The sequence below is a fragment of the Homo sapiens genome, chromosome 4 (genome assembly GCF_000001405.40).
Source record: "Homo sapiens chromosome 4, GRCh38.p14 Primary Assembly".
Lineage (NCBI taxonomy): Eukaryota > Metazoa > Chordata > Mammalia > Primates > Hominidae > Homo > Homo sapiens.
In genome coordinates, this window is record NC_000004.12 from 107543348 (window position 1) to 107560695 (window position 17348).

Here is a 17348-nt window from a genome sequence, read left to right on the forward strand (position 1 = left end):
AATTCTTACCCTAAATGAAGAGTTAGAGGCTATGGTGATTCTCATTACTCACTCACTCAAGGGCTTTTCACTGTAATTCTGTGTCAACAACCATGATTTAAATAATCACTGAAACCAGACCAAAAATTAGATTACAAATACAATACACAGTCCAAGTTAGAAGTGAGGCTTAAAATCAAATAAGTGGCACTAAGGAGAGAGTTGATAGATATCTCAAAGTGTTTATTCATGAAACACCACACCATTGAAGATACAAGTAAAAACTTGCTTAGCTTCTTTTCTTGCCTACCATCCTATACAGTAATCGGATTTTCTTCCCTTCAATAATCCCCAATGTAATGCTAAAATGAAAAATTAACTCAAAATTTCCTCTTTTCAAAGGCCTGTAATTCATCTGACCCCTGAGGGAGAAATTCTCACACACTTTCTCTGGGTGAGGGCCATATGATTCCCATTGTTTTTAATATAAATCACACTTCTCAAATCCTACAAAAGGCTTTAGCAATTTAGGTATTCACATTTTCATAGCCAAAACTGTTGCTTTTTAATTTCCTCTGGGTGTTTCTTTCTCCATTAAAACTATTGTAAGGTATTTATGGTGTGAATCCATGAACGAAACACCCAATAGAGCTTTCCGTTCCTTCTCCCACTGTGTCTGTGCAGCATGCTATAGTTACCTCACTCTAAGACTCTTTCACTTACAATAGGAAATATGTACAAGCCAGTTCATGTATGATAGACATAGTCCTATAATCATGGAGGATTATGAACTCATGTGGTTTATTACATCTAAAACTTTCCAAATATAAAGATTCTTTTAACTTCAAAAATATCTATGCATTTCCACTTAAAAGTAACTGTAATTTTGGTATTTGAACACTGAGAAAAATATATAGTGACAAGAATACATCATGGATTAATAGTCCTATTAATGAAGCTACATTTTCTTAATTACAAGAATAGATTTCTGTGTGTTAATCAAACCATACATCTAAAATAGTACATATACATGTGACATAGATTATACTTTCTGTCTACAACAATGCTTAGCATAACCGTAGATGTGTAGAGCCTTCTTACTAATTCTGAGTCCTCAGAAATCTCCATACTACATGTCACAAACTACTGGTAGAGGAGAAAGTACATGGTCTCTAGAGTCAGAAAAACCTGGTTTAAATCACAGGTTAAATCTCTTACCAGCTATATGAACTTAACCCATCTGACTCCTAGTTTCCCAATCTAACAATTCTAATTTTAGGATAGAGGTTGTGTACATTAAAATATATATAGCACTTGATTTGCAATAGTAATAATGGTTAATAAAGATTGTGTGTTTACTGTGTGTTATATACTGGGCTACATGCTTTAGACCATTTGCATATCTGTACATTTTAAGACATAAGCTTGTAAACAACAATCCCATGACGTATACTGTGGTGGTCAGTAGAATACACATCAGAGTCCAAGCACCTGGGTCCAAATCCAGGCTCTGAACTCTAATACCCACTAGCAGCATGACCAGGTACAAGTTATTTAACTTCTCCAACATTTTTCTTTTTCATCTGTAAATGGGAAAAATAATAATCTTTATCTTATGTTAATAACATTTGGCAAGTGCTTAACACAGTGCCTTGAACACAGAATATATAAATATTAGATAATATTATAATTTTAAAGGTAAAGCAACTGGTTTCAGTAAATTAACTTGCCCAAGGTCACATCATTGCTAAAAAGCAGAGCTAGGGCTCTAATCCAGACCTATCTCTCTAATACACATTTTATAGGTGTTAGCTTCTTCTAACAGAAATTTACTCTTCTTCCCTCTACTCTCCTCTAGGTTCAACTCTCCTGGATAATGACAAGGGACAAGCAGCTCAATCTAAGCAGTAGGCAGCTATAAGGACTCTAGTCAGAAGCCAACTTACCAAGAGAATGAACTTCCTTTCCTATATGAAGCCCCTTCCAGGAAATAATGCATACAGCTAGAACCAGTGAGGCCAGCAGATTTGCAAGTGCTGATTTGGTATATTGGTTGCAACCCAGTAGTGGGTGAAATAAGCAGAAGGCACAGTACCCAGAAGCACTTGAACCCACAGACTCAATGAATCCTATAACATACAACACAGGCCCATCACCTATAATTTTTCATCTTTCTCCCTTTCAGTCACTTTTGCCAAATTTCCCTCAAGGTGGAGCTAACCTAATCAGGTTTTTGCATCTTTCCTGAATATTAACCCATGTATTTATATAATTATTATCTCTCCATAATACGATTAACAAAAGAAAATGCCAAGCCAGTGTAATGCAGGAACAGTTAAATCTTTGCAGAAACCTTATCTCATTCTCAGGTTACAAGTACGCAGAAACAGGGCAGAACACTTTCTCTATATCTCACTGGCCAGACTTACTTTATTCCTAAAGGTACTTCCACTCAAAATCCCCAGCCCGATATACTTGAGTATTAATTCAACGTGAAACTAAAATTGAGAACCCAGCTTTAATGTCTTTCATAAGACCGTCTACCTCATCCAAATGTGGCTTTTAACCCTTAAGCTATAGTTTTATTTTGATATATCCCAGTTCTACCAACTAGCCTTGATACACATCTCTCCTCTAATACAATGACATCTACTTCTCATCAATACTATATGGGATTTTCTGTGTAAACTTGACCTCAGAAATATCTGAAAAATTCTAAGGCACAAACTATGGTAGGCCCAACAGACTCGGAGATCAATGAAGTTCTCAAAGTGAATGAACTTCTCTACATTAGTATGATGCAAAAACTAAACTCTTGATTATATGACCCCAAAGGCCTTCACAATCTACTTTCTATCTGTATACCCTGAAGAGTTATTTAAACTTTTTTGAGACAATCCTCCTTAAAAATCATTCAAAGATTCAAATTAGGGAGTTGGCCTCAAGCTTACACATCTCTCAGAGACCCTCCTTTTTTGAGCAATATCTTCCTTTGCATTAATAGACCATGTTTTCTGATAAGTAAACCAGTACCACAGCCTCACCACTCTGTGCCTCCATTGAACACAATTGTCACTTAACTACAAGCAAAGTGGATTGACAAGTCCTCAGTAAATAATGGATGAGCATTGAATCAAAAACTAGGTATTCATTCCTACCAAAATTGTCAATATAGTATTTTTTTAAAATTTAAAAGTTCCATTGGAAATACAGAAAGCGCTCTTTGCAAAATAGAAAAGGACAAAACTGGTACAAAGAAAAGTTTCCAGTTTCTGCAAGGTCATTATAAACAAGATTTTAAAAACAACTATTAAAAATTTCACCACAGCCCTTTCAAACAAGCTGACAGACAAAAGAAGCTACAATGTGAAGCCTGGAACCAGGATGCTCAGTCAGCCAGTTCCTTATGAAAATAATCCCAGAATCATCATACTGTTGCATTACTCTTGACTTTCAAGTCTGAAGAGTTTTCTTTTGCTTCACTTCCTTTCAATGTGGGCGGCTCCACAGTATTCTGAAGGCAAGCTGGGACTTGAGACAACTAATGACAGGGCAGTTTCTCATGGGCAGGTATCTAAGAAGAGGGAGATGGATTTGCTCAATTCAGGGCTGTCTTCTCAAGGAGTCCCAGGATCTAAGCATACAAAAAAAGGGGCCGGGAGGCAAAAAAAAAAAAAAGGCTCAATCTGGAAGGCACACCCAGTCAAAGCTATTTTCTTCTCCCAACACATGCTCAGAACAGTTGTGTAACTTTTGGTTTTTTATGTTAACTCGTTGAATTATCTGCTTGTATACACAATCCCACCATTAAATTTAACCTAATTAGCTAAATTTAAACACTAATTCAACCAAATGATTGACAATTAAGTCAATCACTATTATTGATTGCATAATACTATTATTCAAGGTCTCGCTAATCACAGAGGAGCTTCGAAAGTGCCTCAATTCAGCTAAAGCCCATGGGGGTCAATGAGCCTTACATGCACATCTGTTAGCAAGTTAAGGAAAGAAATTTTTGTATTTTTTTTTTTATTATTATACTTTAAGTTCTAGGGTACATGTGCACAATGTGCCGGTTTGTTACATATGTATATGTGTGCCATGTTGGTGTGCTGCACCCGTTAACTCGTCATTTACATTAGGTATATACCTAATGCTATCCCTCCCCCACCCCCACCCCCCGACAGGCCCCAGTGTGTGATGTTCCCCACCCTGTGTCCAAGTGTTCTCATTGTTCAATTCCTACCTATGAGTGAGAATATGCAGTGTTTGGTTTTCTGTCCTTGCAATAGTTTGCTGAGAATGATGGTTTCCATCCTCATCCATGTCCCTACAAAGGACACGAACTCATCCTTTTTTATGGCTGCATAGTATTCCATGGTGTATATGTGCCACATTTTCTTAATACAGTCTATCATTGATGGACATTTGGGTTGGTTCCAAGTCTTTGCTATTGTGAATAGTGCCTCAATAAACATATGTGTGCATGTGTCTTTATAGCAGCATGATTTATAATCCTTTGGGTATATACCCAGTAATGGGATGGCTGGATCAAATGGTATTTCTAGTTCTGGATCTTTGAGGAACTGCCACACTGTCTTCCACAATGGTTGAACTAGTTTACAGTCCCACCAACAGTGTAAAAATGTTATTTCTCCACATCCTCTCCAGCACCTGTTGTTTCCTGACTTTTTAATGATTGCCATTCTAACTGGTATGAGATGGTATCTCATTGTGGTTTTGATTTGCATTTCTCTGGTGGCCAGTGATGATGAGCATTTTTTCATTTGTCTGTTGGCTGCATAAATGTCTTTTTTTGAGAAGTGTCTGTTCATATCCTTCACCCACTTTTTGGTGGGGTTGTTTGATTTTTCTTGAAAATCTGTTTAAGTTCTTTGTAGATTCTGGATATTAGCCCTTTGTCAGATGGGTAGATTGTAAAAATTTTCTCCCATTCTGTAGGTTGCCTGTTCACTCTGATGGTAGTTTCTTTTGCTGTGCTGAAGCTCTTTGGTTTAATTAGATCCCATTTGTCAATTTCTTCTAAGGAATCAGGTTTCCAGGAAGCTCAGCTTGTATTCTTGTAAGGAATCCGGTTTCCAGGAAGCTCAGCTTGTAAACAAAGTTGAAAGTCAATCGGCTGGCCTGCCAGTCTCGCTAATAACCTATCTTAAAGTCTAGGAAGATAGAGTGTAAAAAGTGAGAATTTAATTTAAAAGCTATCCCAGGCATCATTCTGTTAAAATGAAATAGAAATAAGTACTGTGGACTAGAAGAAGCTGGTGATTAAGAGTAAAATGGCTTCCTGGAAAGTCACTTTCTAAACAAAATCCTGTTTCTCTTTTAAAAGTACTGAATGGTCAGCACTATCCCCAACACACACACACACACAAACACGTGTGTGTGCGCATGTTTGTTATTCTTAAGTCACCAGCTACCCGATTCTACCAAATAATAACAATGATCATATATTGAGCAGCAGGCAAAATGCTTCCCATGTTTTCTCATTTAAATTTTACAACACCCCCAGAAGGGAAATCTTTTATCTTCCTGGGATAGATGAGGAATATGAAAACGAAGTTGTAGAGAAGTTAAGCAACTTGCCCAAGTTTTCTCAGTTAGTAGGTTGCAAATTTGGACCCTGGTTGTTTTGGTTCCAAAGTCACCTCTAACTACAATTAGCTCTAAAATAAGGAACAAATATGTAGTAAAATCTTATAACAGTATACTTCACGTTTATAATTTCTTATCATCGTAATATCCCATCATGAAAGAAAAGGCATTAACCAGAAAATAGCATTTTTAAAATGCTCAAAGTACTCATAACATGAATTAGCATAAACAAATCATGAGCTGTGCAGGTTCTAATTTGACTGGCAAAAAGCTTGTAGCTCCTAATCTCACTAGAAAAACTCTTCAGGGATATTTCTGGTTTGTAAGAGAAGAGATATCATTCCAGTGGCTGAGTTTCAGGGGCAGTGGGAAAATTATCTATTGCTTTTTTAAAAAGGAAAAAGAAAAGAAACTTCTTTCTGACAACTAAAATTTTTTAATCCTTAATTGAGGCTACCAAACATATCTTAGTATGAATTAGTTGTGTGTGTATATACACATATATATGTATATACACACAAACTGTGTGTCTCTATATATACACACATAATATAGATAAATGAGTTTATAAACTCATTCATACTAAGATATGAATGACAGCTCATACCTCTCCTGAAAATATGTCTTTGAGATGGAAGACTGAATCAGGGCTCTAGAACAGTGGTTCTCAAACTTTAGTGTCTGTCCTAATCACCTGGAAAGCTTGTTAAACACAGCCTGCTGGGCTTTGCCCTCATTACCAATTGAGTATATTTTGCATAGCAAGGTAAATAATTTGTATTTCCAAAAAGTTCCTAGGTGCTTCTGATGTTGTTAGTCCCAGGACCACACTTTTAAAGGCCTCTGCCGTAGAACAGCTGGAGTGAACTGAAGCAGAGGTTGTGTTTCTGAAGATGCCAAACACCAGATGTGCCAGAAAAACTTTCAAATTCCATGCAGATATGTGCTGGTCCTGCTTTAAACGTGTGAAATCATAACGCTGGGTAATCCTGGGGCTCTGACCCCACAGTCGAGCTGTTATTTGCCTAAAGCCTCTTTTTCCACCTCTGAAGCCTGCTCAGTCTCTAAACTGGGCACATCTCCCCCCTTTACGTCTTTGTCTCAATGCCCTGCAGCATGCCAACAACAGGCATGAATTGTTTCACCCAGTTCTTCGTTTGTCAGCAATTCCAGGTGCCAACTTCATCTGTTGGCTCACATTTGAAGGAAGGGCAAGGGGGAGGACAAAGGATCAGTGAAATTCATTAGGGGAGAGAGAGCACTACTCCAGAAGGCCAGTGAAATTGTTGTTACTGCTCCTGAAAAAGAATGACTTTGGGATGAGCTTAGCTTATAATATGGGCCTTACTATTTATAGCTTGAACTATGTCATCCTCTAATATTACCAATTTTTAAAGTCAAAAAATTTGCAAAAATTCATGGGTCAGTAGGCATCAGATAATTGTTGGTCATTCATCTAAGCACTAGAGACCAACATTATTCTTTCTTGCTCATGAATATGAGAGCAGGGAAACCTTCTGTGGAATGGACAACCACAAGTAAAGTCAGTTAAGGCTTCTTGTAGGGAAGGACTAACCCTACATTAACGTAATGTATTCCTGGAAAAGTCTGGATTTTGACAATCTAGAAAATTTTTTCTTTAAAGATAAATAATGTAATTGGAACAAATAAAATAGAAAACAAAATTTTCTATGAACTTATTTTTATTTCTTATTTCTAGAAATAACTCTGTCTTTTCCTCTTTCTTGGTCTTTTATGTTTCACATTTCTATAAATTTGCTCACTCCAATACTAAATACCAGTTGGCAGAATATTTATTTGATACCTGAAGCAAGAACAAAACCAAAAAAACACTTCAGAATACCCCAGTAAAAGCAGACACCTTCATTTGTTCATTCAACAAGTGTTTATTCAATGCAGGGTAAGTGGGCCAAGTGTGGGCTGGGCATAAGACAGCTGGTGGAGAGCAAGATTGACCCAGTCTCTGACTTCAAGAAGCTTTCAGTCTAGTGAAGGATCCAGATAATCTATAAGTAAATTGGTAAGTAAGGAAATATAGATTATAATAAATGCAATGAACAAAATAAACTGAGTGATGGAGAAGAGTTGGAATGGGAGGTGAGGAAAGACACGAGGGCTGCTTTCATCTGGTAGTGAGGAAAAGTCCTTCTGGGCAGGTGATATCTGAGCCCACTCTTAACAGAAGAGAAGCAGGCAACCCTGCTGAGAGGTAAGGAGAAATGGTACCAAAAACCCTGACATGAGAAGGACTTTGAGTATTTTATTGACAGAAAAAAAGGCCAGCAAGGCAAAAGTCATGTAGCACAAAAGGTTGAAGAGGTTGGCAAGGAACGTCAGGCCCAGGGTAAGGAGTTTAGATTTTATTCTAAAACTAATGAGAATTTACAAACAAGCAAGCTATTCTGAGATATAATCTAATATATTTCTGGCTGTGGTGTGGAAAATGAATTGTGAGGAACAAGAGGAAAAGTATGGAGACCCATTAGAAACTATGACAATAGTCAAGATAGGATGATGGTGTTGATTACAGTACTGTGATGGTTAATTAACTGTATGTGTCAACTTGACTAGGTAGAACATAAAGTGCCCAGACATATGGTCAAACATTATTCTTAGTGTGTCTGTGAAAGTGTTTCAGGATGAGGTTAACATTTGAATTGGTAGACTGAGTAAAGCAAATTGCCCTCTTTAATGTGGGTTGGCCTCATCTGATCAGTTGAAGGCCTGAATAGAACCAAAAAGCTTCAGATAAGAAAGAACTCCACTTGCCTGACTGCCTTCAAGCTGGGACATAGGTATTCTCTGCCTTTGGACTCAAACTGAAAAATCTGCTCTTTCTGGATCTCAAGCCTACCAGCCTTCAGACTGGAACTACATCTCGGCTCTCATGGTCTCCAGGTTGCCAACCATAGATCTTGGAACTTGTCAGCCTTCACAATCATGTGAACCAATTCCTTAGGATAAATTATCTATTTTTTCTCTTGATCTGTTTCTCTGGAGAATCCTAAGAATACAAATGAACTTGGGGAGATATGGACAGATACAGGAAATGTTTTGGAGAGAGAATTAATAAGAACTTGGATTTGTATCAATGTAGGGATGAGGAAAAGTCCATATTAGTGTCTTTAAATAATGAATTCATTCTCATTTTTACCTACCAGTTGGTAATATGTTCTTACCCCCATAGCTTTTAAAAAGATTTAAAAAAGTATTTTTGCATAGTCCTTGACAGCCACATCCTATTTCTGCCACCCAAATGATCTACTCTGCAACCTCAGGCTAATATTTCTCTAAAAATTAGGGAGTAAGGAAGAAGTATATGCTATCTCTACTTAATAGACATTCCACACAAAAGCCATGTGACGCTCCTTCGTTGATTTTATAATGAATTTCTCACAAAATTACTAAAACAAAATTGAACCTACAAGCAAATATTTCAGACAACTTCTTTTATCCTTTGTTATTTAGAGTAGATCATCCCGAAAGTACAGTGAGACATGAGAGTCAGGTATGACTGTACATGGAGGCATGCAATGGACCTCTCCCCAAGTATGAGAGCATCACAGTACAACTTAAGCCTCCAGAAGCCAAGAAACTCATCTCATTATGTAACTTTTCCCACAGTTGTAGAGCCCAGAGCTCACAGAAACATACATGCAGCCTTTTAAAGTCATGCAGGTATTTCTGACACATGATTAGAGTGACAATTGTGAAATTAGTGGACTCCTAACTAAGGAGAGCAGGGGCTGCTGCCAGTTTTCCAGGCTCTTCCCTTAGACCCCTCTGGGTCTCTTGGCCCTCAGGTCTTAATATGAGCTGCCCAAATAGTAGCTAAATCTATTTTTAAATAGTAATTTGAGAAATACTACTTCCTCATATCAAAACACTTCATGCTTCACCAGGAGTTAAAGTGAGATAGGGGATGGCCCATTTAACCATAAATAGAGAAGAATTAAAACCCAGAAGCTTGGATTTCTGTAGGTGTAAGTGTGTTTTTGGTTGTGTTGTGTTTGCTCCTTGGAAAAATGTGGCATCCCGTTTTTATTCTCAAAAGGCTTTAAATGCTTATTAAAAAATGTTCTTTGAAATCAAATAGCTCTGTAAAGGCTGTATTTTGATGATTTGATTATAAATGAATGAAAAGCATATGGATTAGGTCACACATGGTTTTGAAGAATTACAGGCAAAAGTGTCTAACAAGACACATTGCAAGTTTACCAAATTCAAACACTTGAAAGAAAATGTCACAGGATAGAGGAAAACAAGCTGACTTTATGCTAATTGAAAGGCTCACAGATGTGAGTATCTATATCTTAAGAGTTTGATCACCACCATTAGGTGTCTCCATTCATCATTTCTGCCAAAGGTCTAGTATATTCCACATTTATAGTTTCTAGTTTAAGCTAACCACCCAAATGTACAATTTTAAAAAAGAAATGTTATTCTAAAATAGGAGGTAAGCTTAATAGTTTTCCTTCCAGCCATGGCTGAAATTCAGCTCCTAGGATGGCTATTGTATTATCATTAACAAATTACCTACATGAACAAACATATGTGGAAAAGAAGATTTTCAGCTCTTCGTTAATGTTTTTTCTCTTAGAGAAATTTACTTTTTCCCTTCCCACATCACATTCTGAAGCAATACTCTCCTGTGCCTATTGCAAAGTGACAGGCTAAGACACAGCAGAAGAGATTCAAAGGGAGGATCTACTTTGAATTTCAAAAACAATGAAATTGTTTGTATTTCAAAAACAATGAATTTAGGAGAACCAAAAAATAAAAATAAAAAGTGTTAAAAATTAGGAGCTTAAACAGGTAAGGTTTTTAAGGGTGTGGGGATGGAAGTGGAAGACATGTAAAGGGTGAAGGGAGTGGCCAGGCTAAAAGGCTGAACCTAAAAGGACACACAGAGAGAAATGCAGAACCCATCATGAAAGCAGGCAGCATCTGGGCTCCACTTGAGTGAATGCTGAACATGGCCTCCGCTCCTGAACATTGTCATTCCTTCCTGTATGATAGTTACAGCACTTTTGTTTGTGGTGTCATTAATATGACTGATTTATTCCTTCTGTTTATTTTTCATGGTCAATCTTTACAGAACTATGTTACTAAGTTTTTTCAAATAACCAGATTTTGGTTTTGATGATCATCTCTGTTGATTTTTAGTTTGCTTGCAAGCAAGCTTACTTCTTATGTCATCTTCATTCTTTTTTTTCTTCTACCATTTTTGTGTTTCTTCTGTGTTTTTTTTTCCTAGTTTTTTGAGCTAAATGTTTAATATGTCTATGTTAATTTTTTAAAGAAATGCATCTTAGGCTATAAATCTCCCTCTGAGTGCTGCTATAGCTGTATCTTGCTAATTTCAACATGCAGTAGTTGTATTGCCATCTATTACAAATATTTCAAAATTCTAATTTTGATTTCATCTTCAACTCTTACTGTTACGTTTTCTGTATTCTAAATGTATCAGAATTGGTTAAATATATTTTGTTGTTGATTTATAATCTAAGGTTATTTTGGACAAAGAATATAACCATATTCTATGAAATCAAATAGTTGAGCAAATTTTATGTATGTTCATGTTGTACTTAGAAAAAAAGTGTTTTCTAATTTTTCAGCTCAGTGGTATCTAAATGCTCTCTAAATCAAGCTTATTAATTGTATCATTAAAATTTTCTATATATTTACTAAATTTCATTTTATTGACCTATTATCTGTGGTCCCCTTAACCCCTTATATGAGCTATTTTATTAATTCCTCTCTTATTTCTCCTATATTTCTTTTTGCATGTATAAATAGATGCATGTATTTTTTTACTTCCCCATTTTCTTAAACAAAAAATTTGGGTGTATGTGTGTGTGCTTTAATTTTTTGTTTAACAATATAGTCTAAACATTACTCCATGTAAGTTCATAGTAGAATCTTAACTCAGAATCCTTATCATTTTTTGTAGCTACATAGTACTCCATCATGTAAATGTGCCATAATTTAGCCAATTAATCTCTAATGTATGGGCATTTAGGTTGTTTGCAGCATCCTGCAGTTACAAATAATGCTGAAAAGAATAATTCTATGCATACATTGTTTATATTTTGGTTAATTTTAGAGTAAATTTCTAAAAATGGGGTTGCTAGGTCAAAGAGTAAATACATATGTAATTATATTATATATTGACAAATTCCCCTCCATAGAGGATCTTCCATTTTTGTATTCCCATCTGCAGTGGAGAAGATGAGTTGTTTCCTCATAGCCTTGCCAACAGAATGTGTTGTAATATTTTTAAATTTTTGCCAACCTAAGAAATGTTATCTCAGTATAGTTTTGATTTGCATTTTTCTTATTATGAGAAAAGTTGAATGCATTTTCATATGTTTGAGAGCCATTTTATATTACTTTTGTGTTGTCAGTTCATATATCTTGCCCATTTTTCAATTGAATTTTTGGTCTTCTTTCCTTAATTATTAATATTTTTATATATATTAGGGATGTCAGTGTCAGTACTTTGTGATACACGTTGAGACATTTTTTTCACAACTTGTCATTTATCTTTTAACTTTGCTAATGGTGTTATTTCTTATAAAATTTTTTTAATGTAGGCAAATTTTTCAGTCTTTTAATGCATCAGTATTTTAAGTCATATTTAGAAGGCTTTTCTTATATATGGATTATGGAGGAATTCGCCAATGTTTTCTTTGAGTTTAATTTTCGCATTTAGATCTCTGATCCATTTGAAGTTTATTCTTGTAGTTGGTATGAGGAATAGTTCTCATTTTTTTGTTCCAAATGATTATTTGGTTTTACTAGCACCATTTATTTTTCAAAATTCATCTTTGCCCGAGTGTAGTTTGAATTTTCTATTCTATTCCATTGGTCTTAGTTTTCAAGCACCAACACCTTATTATTTTAATTATTGATTAGCTTTATTATTAATATCAAAAACCTTTTTTATAGAGAGACATTTTAGTCCTCCCCTACCCCACCAACCCATAGTGCCTCCTTCTCAGTGTTTTCTTAGCTCTTCTTATGTGTTTCTCCTTCTGTATAAACTTCAGTATCAGCTTGATTTCCTTCAGGTAGAAAGCTTGTTGGTATGTTTGTTGGGATCACAAATGTACGTATCACTTAAAGAGAATGAAATTGGATGCTTTATCAAAGAAAAAGAATGGTTTCCATTTGTGTTATTTAGGAACACTTTATGATTCTCATATAGATTTTGCACATTTTTTAAGCTGTGCTAAGCATTTTGTTTACTTATTTCTTTAAGGCTATCTTAAATGGAGTTTTTCTTTCATTATAACTCCCAAATTGTTATATATATATATTTATATATATATTTATATATATATTTATATATATATTTATATATATTTATATATATTTATATATATTTATATATATTTATATGTATTTATATATATTTATATGTATTTATTTATATTTATATATATATTTTATATATATTTTTATATATTTATATATATATTTTATATATATTTATATATATATTTTTATATATTTTATATATATTTATATATGCTATTTATTTTAGCCTGTTAATTTTATATTCTGCTCCCTTGTTAAAATCTTTTAATGCTTGAGTTAGTTTTATTATTGATTCTCTAGCATATTTTTAAGTTACTGTCTGCAACTAGTTGATTCTTTTTTTTTAATACTTATTGTCTCCAATTGTTTTTCTTTCTTTAATCACATTGGCTTATACTTCCAACACAATATTAAATAATATTGGAGATGGTGGACTTAACGCATCTTGCTCCGGGTCCCTGTAGGATTCAAGTATATGTTATTTTATTATGTCAAGAAAATATCCATTTATCTCTGTTTTTCCTAAGTGTTTTTGTTAGAATGAAACTTTGTCAAAGGCTTTTTTCAGCATCTATGGGAATATTCATATGATTTTTTTTGTCGTGAGACCTATTATATGGTGAATCATATTAATAAAATTTTTAATGTGAAATCATCTTTTCGTTCTTTATATACATCACATTTGGTCATAGTTTATTGTGTTGTTAATACGATAATTGATTCTGTTCATTAATATTTTATTTAAAAATGTTACATCAATATTCATGAGTGTTTTAGTACCACTATTTTATCAAACTTAGAGATAAATGTTTAATTCACTTTATTTAAAGAATTTGGATGGTGTTCCTTATTTTCTTCATTTTCATTGCTCTAAAACAAGTTATATCTCATCAATTTACCTAATATTTAGGATTTGGCTACATTTCCCCTGTGAAAACTTCTAGGGTTGGTATTTTCTTGTGTGTTAGTTCCCTGATAAGTCTCTCTATTTCTTCTAAGAACATTAGTCTATTGAAACTTTCTCTTTCTACTAGGATCAATTTTGGTAAATTTGATTTTAAGTTTATTTGCATAGAGATAGGCAAATTATTCAGTTATGATATATGTTTCCTCTTTATTAATAATTATTTTCCTTTTGTCATTTCTTAATTTGTATATCTGTATATTTTTCCTTGATTATTTTAGCTATTGGTTATTGTATTTTTATGATTTTTTTAAAGAATCAGTATTTTTATTTATTAATTTACCCTGCTATTTCTCTGTTTTCTGCCTCATTAAATATTGTTTAGAATTTATTATATCCTGCCTGATGCTTCCTTTTGGTTTGCTTTATTGTTCTGTTTCTGGCTTTATTTACTTAGGATTTAATGTGTTTATTTTTATTCTTTCATTTTTATTGATATAGGTGTTTGGGGTTATTCTTCATAATTGTTCCGTCTGATCTCTGCTCTAAATATGTCTCACAGGTGTGGTTATGTAGTGTTTCATCATTATTTTTCAGAAATCTGTAAGTTATGTTTGCATTTCCTCTTTCACTCAAGATTTGTTTTTTTAAAAAGGCTTTTTAATATCCACATGAAAGATTGTTTTTGGTTTTGAACTCCTTTAAAATTTCTATGTTCTTTGGCTCTTCTATATCCTTACCTTTTCCTTTGTCTACTTCATCTAGTTGGTATTGTGGGTGGTGATTTCTAGTCTCTTATTATTATTATGTTTCTATGTATTCTCCTTTTTATCTTTTGTAGTTTCTGCTTTATAATACTGATAATTGTGCTGTTTAAAACATAGGTATTCATAACTATTATTTTTTAGCTGTAAACTGTGGCTTGTAGTATTATAAAGTGTTCTTTTTTATCTGATTAACTATTTTTGCCATGAAATCTGTTTTGTCTGATAATAGGTTTATATCAGCCCAGTATAAATTTGCCCATCATTGTATTTTTAGCTTTTTTAACTCCCATTGCTTTACGTATTTCTTTTTTAATCAGCATAGAGTTAGGGTTGCTATATGAGACAATAAGAAAGCTTTTTTCTTTTTATGGGCAATTTAAGCCTATTTACATTTATTGACACAGTTGATCTAAATACAATCATATTACTTTATGTTACAGTTACTGCAAAGTTTATGTAAGATTGTGTATCTTCTATATGGCATGTCTTGTTTGCATTTTTCTTAATATTTATTCTCAATTTCTTGATGTTTAGGATGATTTAATTTTTTGTTCTACTGGTCCTCTTTGGACGTATGCTCTAATTCCCTCTTACTTTTTCTTATCATCAGTTTATCAACTTATAAAATGGTATCCCTTGACTCCTACCTATTATCTACAGAGCAGTCAATGACCTTACTCCACTTTCCCTTTCTCATTCCCCACTCTTCCCATTTTTAGTTGCATTCTTTCTCCTTCTTAAGACTATATAATGTTGACATACCACCCTTTCACCCATGTCACCAGCCTCCTTTAGTCTTAGGTATACAACTAAATTTATTAAATATTCAACATTAGTTCTCTTGCCCAAGCTTTTCCTGTCATTTCTCTGTTAAATGAAGCTCAGTTAAATGCAGTTAGATTTCTTAAATGTCATTTATCTGTTAAATAAAGCTAGATTCCTTGGAAATAGCTTGTTAGTATTTTCTGAGTTCTTGTGATTTTTAAATATATATATATATATATATATATATATATATATATATTTGCTTTGGCACTTGTAGTGGGTTGAATTGTGACCACCAAGAAGATATGTTCAAGCTGTAATTTCTCATGCCTGTGAACATAACCCAATTTGGGAACAGGGTCTTTGCACATGTAATTAGTCAAGGATCTCCAGATGAAATCATCCCAGACTTAGAATGAGCTCTAAATCCAATGATTGGTGTCTTTATAAGCAAAAAGAGAGGTAGATTTAGGCATAGACACATAGAGAGATATACAGAGAAAGGCCATGTGCAGACAAAGACAGAGATTGAAATGATACAGCCACAAGCCAAGAAATGCCAAGGACTGCCAGAAGCCACCAGAAGCTAGGAAGAGGCATGGAATATTCTTCCCTAGAGGCTTCAGAGGGCACATGGCCATGCCAACAGCTTGATTCAGACTTCTAGCTTCCAGAACTGTAAGAGAATACATTTCTGTTTTAAACCACCAAGTTTATAATAAGTTGTTAATGTATCCCTAAGAAACCCATACAGCACTTAAGACATAACTTGGCTGAATATAAAAACACTTATCTCTCATTCTTCTTGAGTTCTCCAAAGTGCTGCTCAACTGTTACCTTATTTTGATAAATCTGATACCAATTTAATTTTTTAGTAATTTGGACCTGAGGCTCTTGAATTAGTCTTTAGAATTTAGTAACTTTACTAGAGTTTACTATTTCAAATCAGTTTTCCCAGGTTCACCACAGGCCCTTTCAATATTTAGATTTAAGTTTGCCCTCATTTTTATAAAGTTTTCTTGGATTACAGCTTTAAATATTAGTTCTGTTTCATTGTTATTTCATTTTAGTTTTTCAGCAACTCCAATTATACTTAATTTGGATTTTCATTGTCTTTTTAATTTAATCACCCTTTACTTTCTTTTTTATATCATTTTCTCTTAGCTGTTTTTCTGTCTTCTTAAAATGCTTCTTATTGAATTATCATCTGAGTCTACTCCCCATTGGGTACCTTGCTATTTAATCTTCATTTCTGAGATTGTTTTTACCCCTTAATTTATTTCCCAATTTCAATCAACCCTCATTACATTTCTTATTTTTTAAAACAATTTCTGTTCTTATTGAGTTTTTATGCTGTGTGTTTTTATAATAGCTCCAAATATTTACCCGATTATATTAAATTCACTGTAGAGTATGATTCAGCTTACTGATTGATTCTTTGGTGAGAATTTTCATCAGCTGAAGTACTTTATTTTCATTTTCTATTTATAGTACCATTTATGGAGTTAGTCTGATTTTTCTGTGTTAGACATAAGAATTTCTAGTTCAATATCACCCTCTTCCATCATAACAGTGCATCGCAGTTTCTATAATGAATAATATTAGTTGTTGGGAGTGTTAAACCAAGTTTAGCCTAAAGCTGCCTCCTTACATATTTTAAGTTCTGCCTAAAGGTTTTTCTGTACATCATGAACTATAACAAGTGGAGGTGTAAACAGACCATAGCCTACACTTGTGCCAATCATTGAGTTTTGGCCAAATCTAGTCAACTGTTCAAACCGTGTTCAAATAAGGCAAACATCAAGCTGTAACCAATCTGGCTGTTTCTCTACCTCACTTTCCTTTTCTGTACATCACTTCCTTTTTCTGTCCATAACTCTTCTTCCACCACGTGCTGTGCTGGAGTCTTTGAGCCTACTCTGGCTCAGATGGCTGCCCAATTAGCAGGTCGTTTGTTGCTCAATTAAACTCCTTTA

At 34.2% G+C, this 17348-nt stretch overlaps 1 long non-coding RNA gene across 1 annotated transcript in view; it reads right to left on the reverse strand.

The window, feature by feature from the left end:
• Positions 1-205: 205 nt before the first annotated feature.
• LOC105377358 (uncharacterized) overlaps positions 206-17348 on the reverse strand; it is a 46845-nt gene continuing 29702 nt past the window's right edge. Inside the window, exon 3 of the long non-coding RNA XR_939059.3 lies at positions 206-3613. This is a non-coding gene — a long non-coding RNA (uncharacterized LOC105377358). The remainder of the gene's footprint in view (positions 3614-17348) is intronic.